The sequence below is a fragment of the Homo sapiens genome, chromosome 5, assembly GCF_000001405.40.
Source record: "Homo sapiens chromosome 5, GRCh38.p14 Primary Assembly".
NCBI classification, from domain to species: Eukaryota; Metazoa; Chordata; class Mammalia; order Primates; family Hominidae; genus Homo; species Homo sapiens.
Genome location: NC_000005.10, coordinates 68,661,162 through 68,682,306, shown reverse-complemented (window position 1 = coordinate 68,682,306; position 21,145 = coordinate 68,661,162). Strand labels below are relative to the sequence as shown.

Here is a 21,145-nt window from a genome sequence, read left to right as displayed (position 1 = left end):
AAATTATTTTCCTAGTTTTATGCCTTTTAATTTTTTTAATAATGTGAATATCACATAGTTATCTTCAAGTACCTTTGGAAGGCCAAATATTCCCCCTCTCAAAATGTGTAGGAATAGTTGCTGTGGTTGCTACAATTTTCCCTTGTTTACTATGTAACAAGCCTTGAGTTACATGGTTTGCACATATTGCATAATATTAAATTGAATCCTCACAACCTGATGAGATAGGTGTATTTGTCCTCATTTTATACATAAAGCAACTGAGACTCAGAGATACTAAACAGTTTGTCTCATCTCACAGAGCTGGACAGTGGCAGTGCTGACTCCCCACAACAAAAGCAATTTTGCCCCTGTCTAGGGGAATGAGTCCCTGAAGAATGATTTCTTCCCAACTGGGAGATTTTGTAGGACATTTGCCCCAAAGAAATGCTATTTTCCATAATTGGGTACTACCTATTCATTACTGCTCTTGTATCCTCTGAACAGTTTATGTTATTAACTATAGATCAATCTAGGCTTTTTGTGGATGCAAGTGAATGAAGCAAAATGTGGTCTGGCCATAGGATGGGCTGCAACCTCAGGGGGAGTGGGCAGCTGGTTTAGAAAATGTGAGTGGAGAAGAGCCCAAAGCTGCAGCCTCTCTCCTTTCTGCCTCTCCCTAACTCCAGCCTGCCCTGATGCTTGAAATTCCCTAGAACAGAGACACTCATTTAGATTAACGTTCTGAGAGTCCCTACTAATGTCAGTTTATTGACTGTGAGGACTAATATACTGATAGAAATAATATTAAGACTTCACCTGTGTGTATTGATTTCTCTCATTTGATTCTCTCTACAAAGTCTAAGCAACTGTTTCCTCTTGGCATGGGTTGATTTACCAGAATAGATAGCACTGAACAAAGCCCTCAGGGAATGGACCAGAGAACAGGTAAGGGCTGGTGATAAGAAGAGCTTGTCAGGAAAGGGCAGGATTATCCATCCGTGTCCCTTGTGGGTGGATCCTGATAGAAACTAAAGCAGTCAGAGATCGGCATGAAGGTTTGGGCAACGCAGAAAAGAAGAGTGAGACCGTGGGAAATTGTGAAGCTAAAATTGGAGAAGTGTTTGGATGTAGAGGAAAACTCGCTGATGTCTTTTCATATTTAATTTAAAAATATTTTTTGAAGTAAGGTGTATTAATAGATTACTAAATAACTACATTTTATCAAAGAAGTAAACCATATCTCTTGACAGTCCTAGAAGGCACCAAGAAGGAGATGGGGGAGAGAGACGAGCAGCAGGATGGGTCGGTGAAATTGATGAACATATTTCTCATGTCTGAGTCAGGACAGGTCCATCTGATGTTGCCAGTTCTTTGTCACATGCTTCTTTCCCTAGGAGATCAGAGATCCCAGATGGTCTTAGATAGGCACTTACAGATGCTCAGCCACAACTTAAACTGTGCCAGGCACACCTGCCTCCCCAGGAGATGGGCCTGGGCATGGTTACCCAATGGGAAACTCCAAGACCTTTGCCCCACTCCACTCCTCCCAGCCTGGAGAAATTCTGATGTTTCCTAGGTTTTTCTCCTGCTCCTGCTCTGCTCCTGACACTCCCAGTCTCACAGCTCTTTGAGGGCTTATCATTCCCTGAGGAGTGGTGCCAATGAGGTTAGGGTATCAAAGACATCACCCTAAAAACAGCCAGATCACCCTTTCCACTGGTCTCTCCTCCCCTGGGAAGCAGTGCTGGCCTCAGGCAGTTTTGTAAATTCAGCCAAGTCTGGTTTTCATTTCCTCTGTTCCTTTTGCTCTATTTCAAAGCCAGCCAAGTGTCTGCTACTCTAATTCCCTTTCTCCAACCCCCATTGCTATTCCTTTTACTATTTCATGTATTCTGGTCCTAGATAACCTCATACTTTGGACTGTTTTCCTCTGTTTTTTCAGCCTACTTATCCAAACTTACTTGTCCTGAGTCCCGTTGTTCCAGACTTGTTCTCTTTGTCGGTGACACCAGGTTTTCCAGATAAAGAAACACCTATCAGTCTACCAGGTAAAACTTACATGACTTTACCCTGTTGAGCAAAACCTCAAAGCAGGGATTCTCAAACCCTGGGCCACAGACTGGTACCGGTAAGCTCCTCCTGGGCTCCTCCTCCTGTGAGACCAGCGGCACCATTAGATTCTCATAGGAGCGTGAACCCTATTGTGAACTGTGCATGTGAGGGATCTAAGTTGCACACTCATGAGAATCTAATGCCTGATGTTCTGAGGTGGAACAGTTTCATCCCAAGCCCTTTCCCCATCCCCAAACCCCTCCCCAGTCCATGGAAAAATTGTCTTCTATGAAACTGGTCCCTAGTGCCAAAAATGTTGGGGACTGCTGCCTTAAAGCATTTCAATATAGGCTTTGTCTGTATAGGAAGGACTCCCAAGGAGTAACACTGATGGGAAACTCAAGAATTATCACAGACCAAAAGAAAAGATAGTACTATCACTGCTCACCTTACCAGTGGAGTCAGCTGTCCCTTCTGTGTTTGTGTGGGACAAGTCCTGGGGTGTAGATCTAAAAGTCTAAACTTGCACTTCATTTCTGACTTCAGAAAGATCCTGGCAACTAGCTGTAAACCTCCCTAGGGCCTCAAGGGTCTTTTTCTGCAAAGTGAGTGTTAATAGTGAGAGGACAACCATCTTTGTTTAGATTGTGACTTGGGGGAAGGGCACTGGATTACTGAATTATTGAAAGTACTTTGCAAACTCTGAACATTTGAGCAGGACTTATAAAAGATTTGGATGGAATTTCTCTAGAAATTGAATGGGAAATTGAGATGGGATACTTGGCAGAGTCCAGCGCTGGAGAGTGAACGTCTTGCAATGCATTAGAAAAAAGAAGCGCTAAATGAAGTATTCATGGCCATTAGCTGCTTTCTGCCCTAAAAAAACCCCCAAGTCTGGTAAGTTTGGGAGATAATTGCTGCCAGTCATTGTCTAATTTTGTGATGCTATCTTAAGGGGTTTTAGAGACATATTGTACCATGAAGGTTTTTAGGCTGGTAGAGGAGGGGTGGGTGGGGTAAAGTCCTAGGGCACAACTTCCCTTTTTTAGAGTTAACTGTGTGGAACATGCATGCTTCCAGATGTTGACCTGAATAAATCCTGATTACTTGCCTTGTTTCAGAAGAAGCCACCTAGAATTGGATTTGGTAATATTTACAGGCAGGGCAGAGTATTCTGGTTCAATGATACCAAACTTTTCATGAGGGCATTTTGACTTTCTGTTTTCTCAGAGCTTGAGGTATGAGTCCTTCATATCAGGTGGCCACTTGCTTTAGTTTCTATGGAAACATACCTTTTTGAGGACCTGGAATTCCACCTCTGCAGCATCTTCACTTCGGACCCACAGCTGGTTCTGTATACCCCAGAGAACAATCAGGGTCCATTTTAGGCAACCGACCTCCAAAGTCTTGGCCAGGGCAGGTTTTGGGTTGAGACAGAAACCATAAAATCTGAAGAAAAGTAGAGCCTGAAGTGTTATGCTTGGTATAAGGAGCAGAACTCATTTCTTTTTATGTTTGTATTGATATCTCATGTCTGTATGTTTATGGCAAGACAGAACAAGAGAATACGGGTTATTCGACTATTTGTCTCTCCTCTCCTTCCCCCTACCTCTCTTGATTGTGCTACTCTGATGAACCTTGCTGAGGGCATTTTGTGTGTCTGCATAAAATGCACAGCAAGAAGTTAAGGCAAGGCCAGATGGCTAGGCATTTTCTATGTACTTGCTTGTGGTCATTTTTCCTTAAGCAACTCTTTTCAGGGAGACCATTAATGCTAAATTCCCTAAGGAAATGGAAAGGAATCAGTACCTTCCATCATTTATGGGATAGCCTTCCCATGTCAGAGAGATCAGCTATGGGATGCTCCATATATAGAAAATACACTAGACTTTGTTTTCAACATCAATAATTCCGAAAGTTGATGCTTTTACCTTTTTTATTTTTCTGGAGCTCTTTTGATTCTACAAGTTTCTTTAGGGAGGGAATCTTTTTAGGGCACTTACATATCTTTAACATCTTCTGGTCTTCTTTTCAAGAAGTGAGGTGCATCACTCAGGGCAGTGTTGCAAGAACAAGAGAAGCAATTTCTCAAAGAAGAGGAGGATATTGCATCTGAAGCTGGGATGATTAAACTGAACTGCAAAAGAGGCCATTGATAGGTTAAGGCAGAGTGACTATTTAAATACAAAAGCTCTGAATCTGTGAATCAGGATGGTGTTCTTGAGCATTTTCTTAGCAACAATACCACCCTAGTGCTGATGTTTTAGTCTGTTGTGGCTGCTATAACAAAATGCTATAGACTGGGTGGCTTATACACAACAGAAAATTATTTCTCACAGTTCTGGAGGCTGAGAAGTCCAAGATCAAGATGCTACAGATTTGATGTCTAGTGAGGGCATATTTCCTGGTTCCTAGATGGCTGTCTTCTCATTGTGTCCTCACATGGCAGAAGGGGTGAGAGACCTCTCTAGGGTCTCTTTTGTAAAGGAACTAATCTCATTCATGAGGACTCCACCTTCATGACATAATCACCCCCAAAGACCCTACTTCCAAATACTACCACATTGGGGATTAAGTTTCAGCATATGAATTCTGGGGGGACACAAACGTTTAGTTGATAGTAGTTAGTTACAACATAGGCCCTTGATAGAAAGTGGTTGACTCACTACTGACTTATCTGTTCTACACTGAGCTAAACCCCAAATTTTTGTTCCTGTTTTTGTTTCTTATTATTTTATTTATGTTTATGCTCAAAAAGCTTTAGAAAAATTGGAGAAGGGACTTATGGTTACACTATCATTTGCAAATCTTTTGGAAATAATGATCTTCAGGAGGTCAAGGGTACTAAATTCCCATCTCCTCATTCCTAGAGCTTTACAGTAGTAATAATTAGTGGAGACCATTGCTGTGTGCAGGGGAAGAGGCCAGGCAGGCAAGAGAAATGGATATTCTAGTTTTCTTCATGGAGAGTTGACAGCACAGACAGGGAGAAGGAGACTTTCTCAAATTCTGTCCCACAGAGACCAGGCTTTGCCAGCCTGATGAATGCCAGACATGCTGGTCTGGGATGGATGGGAGGATGGAAGAAAGGCCTTAGCCAAAAAGTCACAGACTTGTCTGCTTCCCCACCAACCCCCCTACAACTCTTGGTTTCCCAGCCTCGCTTCTGCCCACCGAGAGAAATAGGCTTATAGCAAAACCCTTGGCAGAAATCAATGTTCAGCTGTATGGATTTGTCTTCCTTAATGCATAAGGTCTTGGTTTTGTTCTTTTTGGTGGTTTTTTAATTTCAAAGGAAATTTAACATTGACATTAAAAAATATTTTGGGTTCATATCCAGGTACCCTCTCCAAAAATATTTTTTAAAACTGGAAATATTATTGATAGTGACTTCTATATCCTTTGTAGTGCTTTTATGTATTTTTAAAAATGTTTATAACTAATATGTATTACTTCAGAAAAATAGGTCAGATTAAAACTGTAAAAATAAATCACTTATAACTCCCCCAGGCTCCCACATTTATTTCCATTTTGAAGCATCCTCTCTTTTGGTGTTTGTCAGTTTTGTGTGCATAGTTTTGACATACTTTAAAAAAAATTATTGAGATCACATTTACATAACATAAAACTAACCATTTTAAAGTGAATGATTTAGTGGCATGTAGTACATTCACAGTGTTTTGCGACCACTACCTCTCTCTAGTTTCAAAACATTTTCATCACTCCAAAGTAAAACCTCTTACCCATTAAACAGTTTCTCTGCACTTCTCTGCATTTTCCTCTTCCCCCAGCACCTACAGCCACCAATCTGCATTCCATCTCTATGGATTTATTTATTCTGGATATTTAATATAAATAGAATTTTACAGTATGTGAGCTTTTGCTTAGCATACTGTTTTTGGAGGTTCAGCTAGGCTGCAACATGTATCAGTACTTCCTTCCTTTTTATAGCTGAATAATATTCTGAATAATGTTCCATTGTATGGATATACCACATCTTGTTTGTCCATTCATCTGTTGATGGACCTTTGGGCTGTTTCCACATTTTGGCTATTGTGAATAGTGTTGCTATGAATGTGCATGTACATGTTCTTATTTGAGTATCTGTTTTCAGATCTTTAGAGTATAGACCTAGGAGTTGAACTGCTGGTCTGTAAAGTGGTTCTATTTTTAGCTTTTTGAGAAACCAACGAAATGTTTTTCATAGTGGCTGAACCAATTTTCACTCCAACAGTATAGGACATTTCCAGTTTCTCCACATCTTAGCCAACACTTGCAATTTCCATTTAACATACTTTTAACCATTGTGCACATCATTTTATGCAATTGATTAAATATTAGGTTTTAAATTTGATATTAACCTCTAACGTTTGCATGTTCTGGAGCTTTCGACATTATCTGGCTTGCCACTTTGGAATAATTTTGTTCTATTACTCTGCTTTTTGTCAGATCCTGTAACTCATTCCTGTAATGTTACATTTTGATAATTTTTGAACACTGTGTTTATTGGTGGAGCGAATTCTCTTTTGCCTTAGAGTGATCTCTGTATTAGACACAGGGGATTGTACATGTTGGCCCCTGACCTATTTTATGGGCTACATAAACTTTTTAAAAAACGTAATATTTGAAATAGAGCACTGTCTGGAAAGCCAAGTAGTGGTGCTCACATTTTGTTCCTGTTGGAAGCTCTTTGGAAAATAGGAATACATGGGTGACAGAGAAGAGTGAACAAATGGGGAAGGGTGTCTTGAGTGTGCACTTTCCTTCAGCCTTACCCATGTTCCCACATTTTCATCTCACACCTGGCAAATGGATGAGGAGGAATGAGAGAGATAGGCCAGTAGAGTTTAGGGGAGTGAGGGAGAAGCAGGGGTGACCTTGCACCCATAGGAATAACAGGATAAAGGGCAAGAATAATTACCTTAGGCCGATCTGTTGCTATAATTCAACTGGTAAATTAAGCCATCAGAGAAAAATGACAGATGGCAAAATTCAGAGTTTCTTAAGCTTGGCACTATTGCCATTTTGTGCCGGGTAATTTCTTGTGGGAGGACTGTGCTTTGCGTTGTAGGATGTTTAGAGCCTCCCTGGTGTCTATCCACTAGATGCCAGTAGCACTCCCACCACCCCGAGACATTGCCTGGGGGACAGAATCATTTCCAGTTGAGAACCACTGGGCAAAGTAAATAATAATAGTCAGAATTTTTTTCACTTAACAATTGGCATTGTCAGTAAGTTGTTATTTAAAAGCTAGTATTCATTGAGGCCCACTATGTGCCAGGCACTGTGCTCAGCATTTTCATTGGTTTAGTCCTCAGCAAATATTTGAGTGTCTGTTCTACTAGGAACAGAATCTATAATGTGGGCTAAACACTGGCAAACTCCTGCCCCCGTGGAGCCTTTGTTATGATGAAGAGAGGTGTATTAGAACAATCACACAAACATAACGTTGCAAGCGTGCTAGGTGCTGGGGAAGGGAGATCTTTTGGAGGACTACAAAAGCAGTTTTCCAATGCTTCCTTTGAACTGGACTCACTTCTGAGACCATAGCCTGCATTAACTCATGTGGCCCTTATGGCAAAATCATGATGTAAGTACTAGTGATCAACCTTGTTTTGCAGAGAAGGAAGCTGAATGTTACATGGGCAAAAGTCATACAGAGAGTGAGTGGTGGAGTTTGGGTTTTGAACACAACGTGTTGTCTTCAGGGCCTGAGCTTTTAATTACCACCTTGGACAACTAGCAGTGGGATCTAAAGAATGAAGAGATGTCAACTGGGTGAAGAGGGGAGGGAAAAATGTTCCGAGGAAGAGGGAAAGCAATGAACATGCCTTGAAAGCAGAAGAGAGAATAAAGGACTGAAAAAAGAAAAATGCCAGTGAGGCCGGGGTGGAGAAAATGCTGGGGAAGAGAACACAAGAGAGGCAGGTGACGTGAGTGGGCATCACCCCGTTTTAGGGCCTTACAGGCCATGCTAAAGAGATTTATTTTTATCCAAAAGGCAGTGATGAGCCACAGAGTGGTTTTCAGTAGGGAAAGGACACTCTTAGGCTGCCCTCATTACCATATTTAATATTTGCAACTACCGTGAGGAAGGAATGAAAGCTATTTTACTAAAGAAACAGAAGGTTCTGAGAGAGCTGAATGCTTTGCTAAGGTCACAAGACTGAAAAGTGGTAGAGCTGGGAATGAAACTCAGTTTTCTCATTCTGAAGTCCATTCTCTGAACCAGGACACTCTGTGGCATCCTTCTGTTCTTTCGAGCACAGCCAGGTCAGGAGCACACCTTCCCTTCATGGAAGCTGTTGAGTCGGCTTTGAGTTCTGGGAATTCTGTCCCCACACGTTCTGATCTCGGTGTGGGAACACAGACACGGTTCCTTGCATCTCGACAATCACTCTTTAACTTTGGAATTTTCTAGTCTCTGTTTATTGTCTTTTACTCCAACTCCAATTCACCCTTTCACCCTGCCCACCCCTCAGCCCTGCAATTCTGCCGTGGGACACTGTACATGTGGCCTCTGATAAGAATCACTCCATTCAGAGTCGCTGGCAGGTAGGTGTCCTATTTGCTCAAACAAGCGTGAAGGTCTCCACTCCTCAGATTTCACTGCTGTGGAGCCTGGAACTGTTTGGTTGGCCTTCTTCTGTTCTTTTGGAGATAGTGTGTTTCACCCTCCAGGTAAACTTCAAACTAGTGTTCATTTAAATATTAATTTGCAATTGCACAATCCCTCCTGTGATATTACCACATTCTGTGGGAATTAGGCTGAGTGAGCCTTCTTGCTCACTTTAATCACACATTTCAGCAGTGCCGAGACTTGCAGCAGAGTCGGATTCATTCTTTTACACCATCCAAAACACTCTGCAGAGCTAACCAAATTGAAATGAGCCCCTTCATCTTACGCACGGATAATTAAACTTCAAACACTGTTTATCTCAGTCCCCAAATCCTCAGAATGCAGAAGCAAATTAATTTTAAATCTATATCTGCTTTAAATAGTAATTGTTTAATCAACAGGCTTGATGTATAATTATATTCTTTGTTCGTACTCCTTGCAGGCTTGAATAGACCACATAATTCCTGGGTTGCTTTCATTTCTGTAATTAGATCATGTGACAGATCCTTACTATATTACAGTTGACTATAGTTGCTTCTCTCCCACCCGCTTCTAAGTTTGAAAATGGTTTCTCATGAATTCTTAGATTATAACAGCCCCAGTTTAACAAGGAGCTATAAGTATTTAGCTTTAATCCTTTACTCTTCTTTGACCTAATAATTTACTAGGGAGCAAGTGAATTTTATTGGTGGCTGTGTGCTTTCAGAATTGAGAGTTCTTGTTCTCCTTTTGAACTTCTGTTTTCCCAAAAGGAATCCCTTCTTGACCACATAGAAATACATTGTCTGAACCCCTTGAAATCAATATTATCCTTATATAAGTGATAGTTGAGGTTCAAACTGAGCAAAAATAATATACTAGGGTATTGTTTTCTGATCATCTGGAGTTTCACGGAGAAAGAAGTAATTTTCTTTGTTAGAAAGCATAGATTTATCTCCAAGAATTTATTTTACATGCCTGGCTTCATCCCATAAAAATGAGAGCTGGACATTAGATAATTAGGTCAACACTGAAATCTATTCTTTAATTGGAATTTGTTTCTCCCACACAATATGCCTAATTTTCTGTGATTCTGTCTGTGCTAGAAATATGATTGCTCAGCCAATGTGGCTCTTTTTACTTCCTGTTATCAGTTGTGTCCTCCAGCCTGTTATCTTTCAGATTTGATTTCCCCAGGATCTTGCAATTCTTACTATTTTTCTCATTTTTGTTATTGAGGTATGCAAAATTGGGTAAGGTATGGTAGGTATGGCCTAATAAATACTGTATAAATTGAAAGGCATGATGGAGGTTGGAGAGAGAAAGAACATCATTCAAAAAAACAATAACAACATAAAGTGTCTATACTTAAAGCTCAAAATAACCAGGTTCTTTCCATCATATTTCCAAATTAGATCTAAGTTTGCACTGTCTCTCCTCAGTCTTCTTCCCTATATTCATTTCTTGTTTTTTTTTTTTTTTCCTTCCTGTGGAGTATCTGTGTTTTTGATTACTTTCTCTTACCTATCCAACCATACATTTTTTCAGGCAGCATCTCATTTTGCTATTTGATCCAGCTATGCATTTTTATCAATTCCATAACTGTATCCTGCACATACTTCTGTAACTGCCAGTTTGGGTTTTAAAACATTATTTCCTTCTCCTTTTGGGTATTTGCAATACTTCCCAATAATTTCTGCATTTGTTATTCACCCTTCCAGATCACGCTTGCAAATGCTAAATTAAATGACATGCCTATGGACATCACTACATTCACAGGTTAATAATTACCCTGCTTTAATGGATCTACTAGAGTTTTTTGGTTGGAGAATTCTAAGCCCAATTCCTCTCCTCCTTTTCAGTGGCAGATAAATCATTATGAGGCTTTTATTTTGTATATCTTCGAAGATTTAGAAACCTACATAGTCATACAGAAATAATCTGAAATATATTTTGATTTAGATATCGTCAATTAAGGTCTAGTCAGGGAATATAAACCATTTTTGTTCATTCAGTAGGGGAAATATAATACAGGAAACTAGTTACTCAGGTGATGCTAAAACTGAGAAGCCAAAGAGGAGATGGTGAAGTACCACAGAGGTTGGCAATGGCTGGAAGATCCTTCCACTCTAGCATGGTTGAAGCACAGGAGGGGGAAGTGTTCCACAGCCCAGCTCAGGTTACCGGGCAGAGCTGGGAACTGGGAGAACAGAGGAGAGGACTGCCTGTTGGAGTTGAAGGTCTCAAGAGAAACAGCGCTGCCTAAGATGCTACCCAGGCAGGGAGATGAAAAGACACAAATCTTAGCATCTCCCCTCTTCCATTGATGAGCTGGTGAGCCTCCCACTGGCTGATCTTACCTGGAAGCCACTTCACAAGAAATCCAGTTCCTAAAAGTACAGATTAGAGCAGGGGAAGTGAGGACAGTGGAATTGAGAGCAAAGGGACAAATGACCAACACAGTTGCAGTCAGGTGTGCCTTGAAAGCCTGGCCCAAAGTCCTTTACATGGTTGTCTTTTCAATGAGCTTACCAATTCACTGCTGACCATCACCTGCCTCTCTCTTCTATTTTGAATACCACTGCTAGGCTGGCCTTCCTGAAATACTGTTTTTGTCTTTGCACATGACTCCTGCTTCCTGCTGCATCAAGCCTAAACTCTTCAGGACTTTACTAATCTGGATTGCACTTGCTGACTTAGGTCCAGGTTTAGTTAACATTTGTCTGGGGCCAACTCTGTGCCAGAGGGAAGAGAGGAGAAAGGTAGATTGATACTGGTTGACTGCCTACTATGCTACAGACACAGACGCTATATTGGTAACAGTCGTATACTTTCTCTTACTTAATCCTCAGGTATTATTTTCATGTTTCAGTAGGATAATGAGGCTCAGCAAGGGAAAGTAACTGTTTCAAGATGACACAGTCTGGCTGAATTAGAGCCAGATCCATCTGACACCAAACCCTGTTGTTTCCATGACACCCATCACCATCACCCTCCTGGTTTTATTAATGCTCAGAGAAAATTCATGGTAATAATGATTTATTAAAGTGAAGTGAAAGTAATAACATAATTTATTAAAGTTTTGATAAGTGCTACCAGAACTTTACATTTCTGGTAAGTGCTACCTGACAACTATCTGTTTTAGATTTAGAAATTTCCCGTGTAGTGATTGTCACAAGATCTTACCCACTTATCTTGGTTCAATTTCTATTTTCTCCGTGATATTCCCCCCTACTGGCAATCCCACATCAGGCTCTCCTTTCTTTGAGCTTCTCTGATGCTTATACCATGTATATGCATGATCTCATTGAGTCTAAGTGCTTCATATAAGGGACATAAATTCTGGTAAGCTGTAAATAGTAACAACAATTCTCCCTTATATTTTCCCTCTATCTCTTTATAAAATCCCACTCTAGTGACAGAGTTAACCTTTAGCGACTTACTGCCAACCTGTTTTCAGGGACGTGATAAGTGTCTTGCAGTTTAGTCAGAACTCCCTTTAATGTGCATTAGTATCACCTAGTGAATACTGTTAAAATAGATTTTGATTCAGCAGGTCTGGAGTGGGGCCCGGGATTCTCTTTCTCCAGCAAACTCTCAGGTGATGCTGACGTTGTTCATCCAGGCACCAAGCTTTGAGTCGTGGGTCTAGAACACAGAGTTACACATCAAAGGCAGCTGACAGCTCACCCAGCACATTCATCACAATGGACGTGAGGAAGAGATAGTTACAATACCCTCAAAACTAGGGAGCTGACACATTGGCAGATCACATAAAGGGGAAGAGGAGAAAGGGATTTATATTATGTTATAATAGTAAGAGTAAGTTGGTGGAGATGGGGCTGGCATTAAGTGTTGTATGGTAAAGATTTGTTTTCCTTTAAAGCAAAGTTCTTCTCGTCTCCTGACATTTTAACATCTTACTTGAGGGAAGGGTGAATGCAGGAATGTGAGGGGCAATGGCCTCTGAAGGGTTCTGGAAAGGGAGAAAGAGAAGTCTGTTCTTAGACTCGGCTCTGACTTAGGGATCTCCAAAGATGACAAGGCAGAAATTCCAGATCTTGGTTTGGGGGCTATATTGGAAGATGCCTCTGATGAGCTATGATGGCTAGAGTTTCTTGCTCTCTTTTGCCATGTTCTGGCTGCAATGAAGGGCAGGAGAAATCAATCCTAAAAGAAAGGAGGATAGCTGATGATGTGAACATCACATGTGTGCACACACACACACGTGTGCACATGCAGGCATACACACACAACTGCAGTGTGCTTTTGGTGGCTGGGATACTGATGTGTGGTGTTTAGCAGGGGTTTCCCACTCAGCCGTCTCCCCTAACCATGTGTTGGAGCCTGGAGAATGTTGGAGATTTCACTCAGGAGCAAGTGTGCTGGTCCTTCAGCCTCATGAGGTGGGAGTGCTCTGGGCACATTGTTGACTGCCTGTTAGGGATTCTTGAGGAAAAATGGGAAGATGGACACTTCTTTTCCCACCACCTGCCCTGGATGTCAAGAAAGTCTGCTGAGGTGACTCCGCAATTGTTAGAATCAAACTGAATATTTTAATAGAGATTGAAGATTACCTGAAGTGCTAGATAGAATCAATCTTACTTTCATTTTCAAAATCAATACTGTATTTCCTATAACTCAATCTCCTTGTCTCTCTCCCAAATCCTTGTTGTTGATAAGAAATAATCATTACTGCCTTTGTCAGACATTTATCTATGATCCATACCATCTGCTGCAGAGTTTTCAGTTTTATTTTAGGATTTTAATGAAGTTTTTTATTTGCTCATTTTATATATCTTAGACTAACCATTACTTCAAGGACTCAGCTCAGATTTCCTCAAACCATCTGGAAGAGGACTGGATCAATCTCATGTACATCTTTGATTTTGGAACAGAGTCAGACTTTTTTTTTTTAAGATTTATTCAATTTTCCCTCATTGATCATGTTCCAGAATGTCCTAGCCCACTGCTTAAATCTTATTCATAATGTGATATTCCTAGCTACTAAAAACTGGTGATTTTTATTGATCTTGCCATTTTTGTGTGGTCATCTTTGAAAAATATTGGGATGATGGAGTTGGGGAGAAATAAATTAACTCTGATAGACATAAATATTAAGCATAAGAGATTACTACTCTATTCTCTAATCTCCTATTAACCTTTAGGAATTTCTGATTTTGAATTTGGCTAAGTTTATTGCATCTCTACTCTCTTCTAGAAAAGACTAAATTCCCCAAGTGTCAGGATCTGCAGGATCTGGTATTTTCATTGGTGTCTCTTGAACTTGACACATAAACGCTCAATAAATACCAGGTAATCAATGAATGATTTATCTCACTGACCTGTACTAAGGTCCAGCAATAGGAGCCCTTTTGAATTCTGCAAAGAACTGGGTAGGAGATGCAGGCAAACCTTTTCCTTTATGAAGGAAGGTCAGTTTCCCTAAAGTTAGTATCTTTGATCCTTTCTAGTTTGTTCCTTTTGTTCCTCCCTATCTATACGCAAGCATAGATACTCTATTTCTGTGTGGAGAGATTCTATATAGAAACTCAGCTTTGATTTATAATTTCTGTTTCTGGTGAAACATCTGACCCCTGGAGGTGGCGGGAACTGCAGAGATGGATGGAACCACAGATGGAGTTAGGCAGAAGTGGGTTTGAGTGCTGGCCTTACCTCTTACCAGTGATGGAATCTTGAGCGTGTCGCTAATGCTCAGAGTTCATAAAGTGACGGCGTTAATGAAGAAGAGGAGATAACATGTGTCTTAATAAGGCCTCCAATGCCTTGTCCGACCCGGTCCTAATCCACCCTAGCATTCTCCCCTTGCTCTCTGAATTTCACCCACACTGCTGCCTTTTAGCTCTTCAAAAGCTTCAAGCTCCTGTATGCCCACCATAGGGCCTTTGCCTATGTAGTTCCCACTGCCTTCCCCATTCTTGTCTAGTTGACTCACGATCATATTAGAGCTCAGCCAGAGTACCACTTCCTCAAGGAAGCCTTCCCTGATCTTCTCCAATTAAGTGAGATTTCCTCAGAAGGTGCATTTTGAACTCTATAAGAATTCCCACAATTGCCATTAAATAATAATTGTGTAATGAGTTGTTCAATTCCCCCCACTCTTTCCACTATATGAATATAAACTCCATGTGGACAGAAATCATGCCTATCTTCTTTATCTTTGTATCTGCAGTGCTTGGCACATGGTAGTAGCTTAATGAATGATGTTATATGAATGAATACACAAATGAAAAGTAATGAATAAAATCCAAATGCAAACTAGATGCACAATAATGTTTATTTTCATCCTATCCTCCCAGTTGCCTTCTTTTCTGAAGCTTTGCATGGGACAGTAAGGAAAATTAAAAGAAACCATGATTTGAATGGATGCATCCTGGCCTCCTTCAGTTGTCTGAAAATAGCTCCCTCAGCCATTCGTCAAAGTCCATGACCCTCAACCCTCACCTTGCACTAGAATCACCTGGGTAGCTTTTTAAAACTGCAGATAAAATTTCAATCATGGTCTGGTGGCACTGGCATTTTTAAATGCTGGAAAAGGTGATTCTAACACGTAGCCAGCTCGAGAACCACTGCTTTAGGTTATTTTGAAAAGACATGTTAAAATTCAAGACTCTTACACAGCACTGTATGTCTGTTGGAATAGGTTAATATGCCTTAGCATCTGACCTGCGTTTTTGCAGAGTGTTCAGATTGGTCCTATGAGAAAGGGATGGAGGGGCATCATCACAAGGCTGGTAAAGGCCCCACATGTGTGCAAGCCCAGGGTGGGCACAGTCGGGTGGAGTCCTGCAGAGACAAACCTCACCTTCTCTCCAGCATTGCCCAGGCCAGCCTTTTCCCAAGTACAGCAGAGTTCCTGTTATTATTTCCATGGAGTGAATCACACTGGGATAGTCTTGGATGTGCCCTTTCCTAGATGAAAAGTGCTGGAATGGGTTTCTAGCGTGGGAACAGCTTCAAGGACATTGCCCCTGGAAGGTATGATAGAGGGGATGGTTTGAATGTGCTATGGCAGGGGATTTCAAAAGCCAGTTGGCAAAGATTATGGGAAAGGGCAAGCAAGCTTTGGCTTCAAAGAATGAATTTTTAGAGGTTTTTTTTTTTTTATAAACAAGGAAAATAGGAAAAATATAGAATCATAATCTGGGGCGTAAAAGCTCTCTGGTATAGCAGAAATGCTAAATCTTAGAACTCTGTTGAAGCAGGGGTTGGTAAACTGTGGCCTGTAGGCCAAGTCCTGCCCACCACTTGTTACTGCTCAACTTGTGAGCTGAGAATGGTTTTTACATTTTCAAATGGCTGAAAAATAATCAAAAGAAAAATAATATTTCATGACCCATGAAAATGATATGAAATTCAGATTTCAGTGCTCATAAATAAAATGTGATTGAAACACAGTCATGCTTATTCATTTAAGCATTGCTGGCTGGTGGCTGCTTTAGTTCTTCAGTGACAGAGGGGAGCAGTTGCAACAGAGGCTGTGTAGCCCACAAAGCCTAAATTATTTACTGTTTAGTCCTTTATAGAAAAAAGTGTGCTGACTCCTGTGTTAAAGAATCAGAAGAGGAGCTGACTAGAAGGATTAACCATGGGTGAAAAAGGGGAGTGAGAGATCAGAGAAAGGAGAATAATAATAGTATTGTAATGGTTACTTGCTAAGTGCCAGGTATTTTATGTGCAATACCACTTTTAATCCTCTCAGTTATCTTTGAGGTAGAGTCAGGGTCCCAGCCAAGCACAGATGCCCACTCCAAGTAGGATAATTGGAAGGCGGTTTGGTAACTGGAGTGTTTATAGAGTAAGACCTGTGGTAAGGATCCATAAGAGATAGTGCAGTGTCCCAGGCTAGTGACAAAGAACTGGTTACCACCTCTAGGCCTGAAGCATTGAGGGAAGAGAGGAGGTTCCAGAATCCAGAAGGAAAGAGTTATGCAGATAGGGCTGCCTTGAGAGCAGCAGTGACCTTCAGTTGGAGGACACAGCCAGTCAGATAGGACCGCACAAGGAGCTGAGGCCATCAACAGCCTGCACTCACTCTTTTCTTCCTCCAGTCTCTTTCTGGGGCAGGAGTCTGTTGGATACAACCAGGGCAGGCTGTTGGACTCAAAGAGGGAGGCTGCTGAGGAGTTTCATCCAGGTCAGTCTCCTGGGGCAGAAAGAATAGTGAAGGGTGTAAGGGGATCTGTCGGGCATACCAGTACAGGTGGGTACCACTGTCATCAGCATTCTCCCCGCAACCCCAGCTGGTCCACTTATAAATGGTCAAAGCTAGGTTTAGGAAGGTTAAACTGTGTCCCTCAGTACACGCTGAGCTGGGACACTCTGATTCCAAGACCCTTTGTTTTAACTATTATGTTATCCTGCATTGAGATGGAAGAAACCTTGAGGGGATTCAGGTTTCCTCCCTCTCAGCTTGGGAATAGCTTTTGCAGCATATTTTCACGTGATCCTTTGGCCAATACTTGAATATCTGCCTACATGGGTATTAGTGACTGTCTTGTGGTCATTTTTGTCTCCACTGGGGGGATTATTCTTATGACTGGGAAGCTTTCTCTTAGATTGGACAAACCCAGGGGGTAACATTTACTAATCAAAAAAATCAAATCTATTTTTAATTGATACATAGAAATCTGAAGCTCTGTTTTCTCCTTTACTCATTTTCTCAGATGTTACTCTTCAGAATTAGTAGGGAGATTCCTCTCTTACTATTTTTCTGTCTTTGAGCCCCTGGATGTCCTTTTTGTATTCGGGTTTTTTTAATTTTTTTTCGAGACAGATTTTCAGTCTTCACCCAGGATGGAGTGCAGTGGCATAATCATGGCTCACTGTAGCCTTGACCTCCCAAGCTCAAGCAATCCTCCCCTCTCTGCCTCCCAAGTGGCTGGGACTACAGGCACATGCTACCACACCCAGCTAATTTTTATATTTTTTGTAGAGATGGGGTTTTGCCATGTTGCCCAGGTTGGTCTCGAACTCCTGGCCTCAAGTGATCTGCCTCGGTCTCCCAAAGTGCTGGGATTACAGGCATGAGCCACCACTCCTGGTCCAGTTATATGATTCTTTTATGGACACTCCCTCCTGTAGCCAGATGGTCACTTCCCATAGTCTTTATCTTTCAAAGTCACAGCCTAAACATCAGAAGGAATAAAGGAACCACTGGGCTACAAATTTTTCTTCTACTCTTTTTAAAAGTTTGAGCTCTTAAAAGCAGGGAAGGCTGCACAGTTCCATGTAAATCCGTAGAGGTGGGTAGTAGCCGGGGAGAGTGGTCAGTGATACATCCTGCAGGCTGTGCATACCCACCAGGAAGAAGGCTCACCTCATGACTGGCCGCATCAGGCCATATGTCTTCCTTTCTCATGCTGCAATGGGAAGGCATGCGGGACACCCTTTCCTGGCTGTGGTAGCAGGATACCTCAAACCCACTGGTGCTTAGGAGTCCTTTTTGTTCCATGGAACATAGGATGTGGTTTCTTTTTCAGAATAAGTCTAGGACCGGATAAAACTTTGTGAACTCTGATGACGGTAACAGTGATAACAATGACCTTTTATTGAGTGCTTAATCCTTGGTAAACCAAGAATAGTTCTCACCATTTACCATTTGTGTCCAATGGACCCTTTTTGTGTTTTTATATTTTTTAGTCATTTTATGAGTAATTTACAGAAGACCAGATATATTATGAAAAATAACTTTATTAAAAATTTTAATAAAAATGTAAACATAGCAAACTCCAGTTTTTCTTACCATATTTTCCTGGTGTAGAAGGTATTGATGCCTACAATTTTTGGGCAACTTCCTTCGAATGCCATTAACTGGTGATCAATTGTCATGCATGATTCTGGAACATGTTGGTCTTAGAAATACAGCATTGATTCCAAATTTCAAGTCCATCTCTAAAAGTTTAGCTTATCGTTACCTCTAATTTTATCTTCTTGCAGTTATATCATCAAAATAAAATATTTTTAAAAACTGTGGCTCATGATTTGTTTAAAAGAGGACTCACATCTTCATTCTATAATTGCAAAACATTTTCATGTTTTATCAATTAGAATGATTCAATTGATTGTTTTGGTTTCCACATTATTTTCTTCCATTCCCCTTTCAGTACACACCCACCTAGTCCACTTATGACCCATATTAAGCAAATTTTGGTGCACAACCACATAAGAGACAAAAGAATATTATTACTTTTTTTTTTTTTCAAAACGGGATGGTCTATGTTCTGATCACAGAACACTGCATGATAAAGTTCTTCCTGTTGAGTTACTAACTCATTGAGGACACGATATTTCATTTTTGTCCTTAAAAATATAGTGTCCATTTATTGATTCTAGACTTTGGAAAAATTCACTTAGGATATTGTCATCTGAAAACTCACAGTCTAAAATTTTGCTTATATGAAATCTCTTTGCATTAATCTTATGATTTGTTTAATAATATGAAACATCTTCCTCTGTAAATTTGCTTATCTTTGCCATTGTGGTTGGAAAATAAAAATTATGGATGCTCAGTTGTGTATAAAAGATGAGAAGAAACTACAAAGATGGTGTCTTTACTGTTCTCCTAAACCTTCTTGAATGATTCTACAATACTTGGGGCAGGACAGCAGGAAAACTAAAAGGTGATGTAATAGCCACAGTTTAGTTCATTATTGCATCAGCCTTTTATGAAATTATATCATTTTTCCATTTCACATTATTTTAGTGTTTTTAAACACAGTTGGGAATAATTGGTGAGTAATGATCAAATGATGACTAGAATGATGAATAGCAAAATGTTTCAAGATATAAGAAAAAGAAAATCACTAAGATTCCATAATATAGCTTGGATTTACAAAAATTGCAAGATTGACTTTTATTCTATTTTTTAAATAGTAAATTTTCTCTTGTTATTTGGAAGACCTCTAAGAAAAAGTAAAAGCAATGTAATATCAATCCCTACAAATAAATTGCTCAAAAATAAAATCCAAAAGCTAAAATGGGATCCTGTGTTTCCTGATGTTATAGTTAACGTGTTAGACACCATATAAAGAAATTTATAAACGTGACTAAATCCAGCTAATGGATTGAAAAAAAGAATAAAGTTTCAGTTGGAGATGATGAAAATGTTCTGGAGATGGAGGGTAGTGATGGTTGCACAGCAATGTGAATGTACTTAATGCCACTGAACCATACCCTTAAAAATGGCCAAAATTATAAATTTTATTATGTCTATTTTACCACAACAAAAAAAAGGCATGTTTATTGAATGCTTACTTTGTGTCAAATACCTGATGTCATCAGTGCAGTTATCACAGTGACATGAGTTAAAACTATCTCTCCTCCAGTGGATGGGGAAGGCTGACAGAGACTAAGTAAATTGCCCAGAATCACAACTGGTCATGGCAGAGCAGGAGGAGGATTCCAGCAGAAAGCCCCCAGAGCCTCGTATATAACCACTACAGTGCTTGTGAGGCCAGGCTGGGGTGCAGAGGCGTCATTCCCCTGGGTGTGCCATGCCCTCTTTCTTCTTTCCAAACTCTTAGGTGATCTGGGATTCCTTAGCTACCTCCTCAGAATCTCTTCTGATTTCTTTCAAGGCTCTGTGGGGAAAAAAAAAAAAAAAAAAAGCTTTGTACGTAAGACCACTTGTACTCTCGGCCAAAGCAGCTGCTGACATCCTCAGAAGTGAAGACAAGCATGCCCGTGTCCCAAGGGCTGGAGGAAAACAGTCTCCCAGCACCCCTCCCAAACCAGCCATCATCTGCCTCCACTGGACTTGGTTCTATGTGGCCGCCTCCACCAGACTCTGCTTATAAATGGCCAGGACACCTTCCACCATGTCTATTAGCCACTTTTCTGCCAGGTGGTGGTAATTCTCACTAATTTGTACCAGCTTCATAGATGTCAAGCCAAATTTCATTTTATTATGTTTTTGAAGAAGAAATATTGATTAGCTGGGTGTTAGTGAAATTATTTTCTACAAGTTGGGTGATGGAAAGAGATTTCAAAGTATGCCTACTATCTAAAACACATTTACAAATGATATATGCAAACATTATTTTAATAAAAATTACATTGGTGTGAATAAACAGAGTGTGAGCAGGCAGCATAATAATGTCTATTTTTCTGAGTGCAAAAATACACAGTTCAAAGATAAATCTGTTTTAGGGCAAGAAGGTAATTGGGGTAAAGAGCAGGGAGTGTGTCTTAGAGCTGTGGTTCCTGACTGGGCCAGCTGAGGGCAGTGGTTCTGGTGAGAGCAATTGTCGGCTTAGAGGCCTAGAGTTTCCTAAGGATGTCTGCTGAATAGTCATTGTGAGTAATTAGGAGAAAGAGTATCTCTAGCATTAACAGGGCCCAGTTAGGGTGAAGGGTGATAGGAAGTGCCCAGACTGCCTACCTACTGGGTTTCTTAAAGAGGTCCTGGCGGTCCCCGAGGTACATGCTGGAAGTGCAAATCCTAGTGCCCTACCCATAGATTACTGAGTCAGAAATCTCTCAGGTGATTCT

General features: G+C 40.7%; 1 long non-coding RNA gene across 2 annotated transcripts in view, besides 1 other annotated feature; it reads left to right on the top strand.

Moving 5' to 3' along the window:
* LOC105379013 (uncharacterized) overlaps positions 1-21,145 on the top strand; it is a 406,546-nt gene that overhangs the window by 150,551 nt on the left and 234,850 nt on the right. The window lies entirely within an intron of this gene.
* Positions 1,552-2,751: an enhancer, noted in NCBI's record as "CDK7 strongly-dependent group 2 enhancer chr5:67975383-67976582 (GRCh37/hg19 assembly coordinates)". NCBI's record gives its function as "activates an origin of replication core promoter dependent on BRD2, BRD4, P300/CBP, MED14 and CDK7 cofactors, with strong dependence on CDK7, by STARR-seq in HCT116 cells {active_cell/tissue: HCT116}" and the evidence as "EXISTENCE:reporter gene assay evidence [ECO:0000049][PMID:35650434]".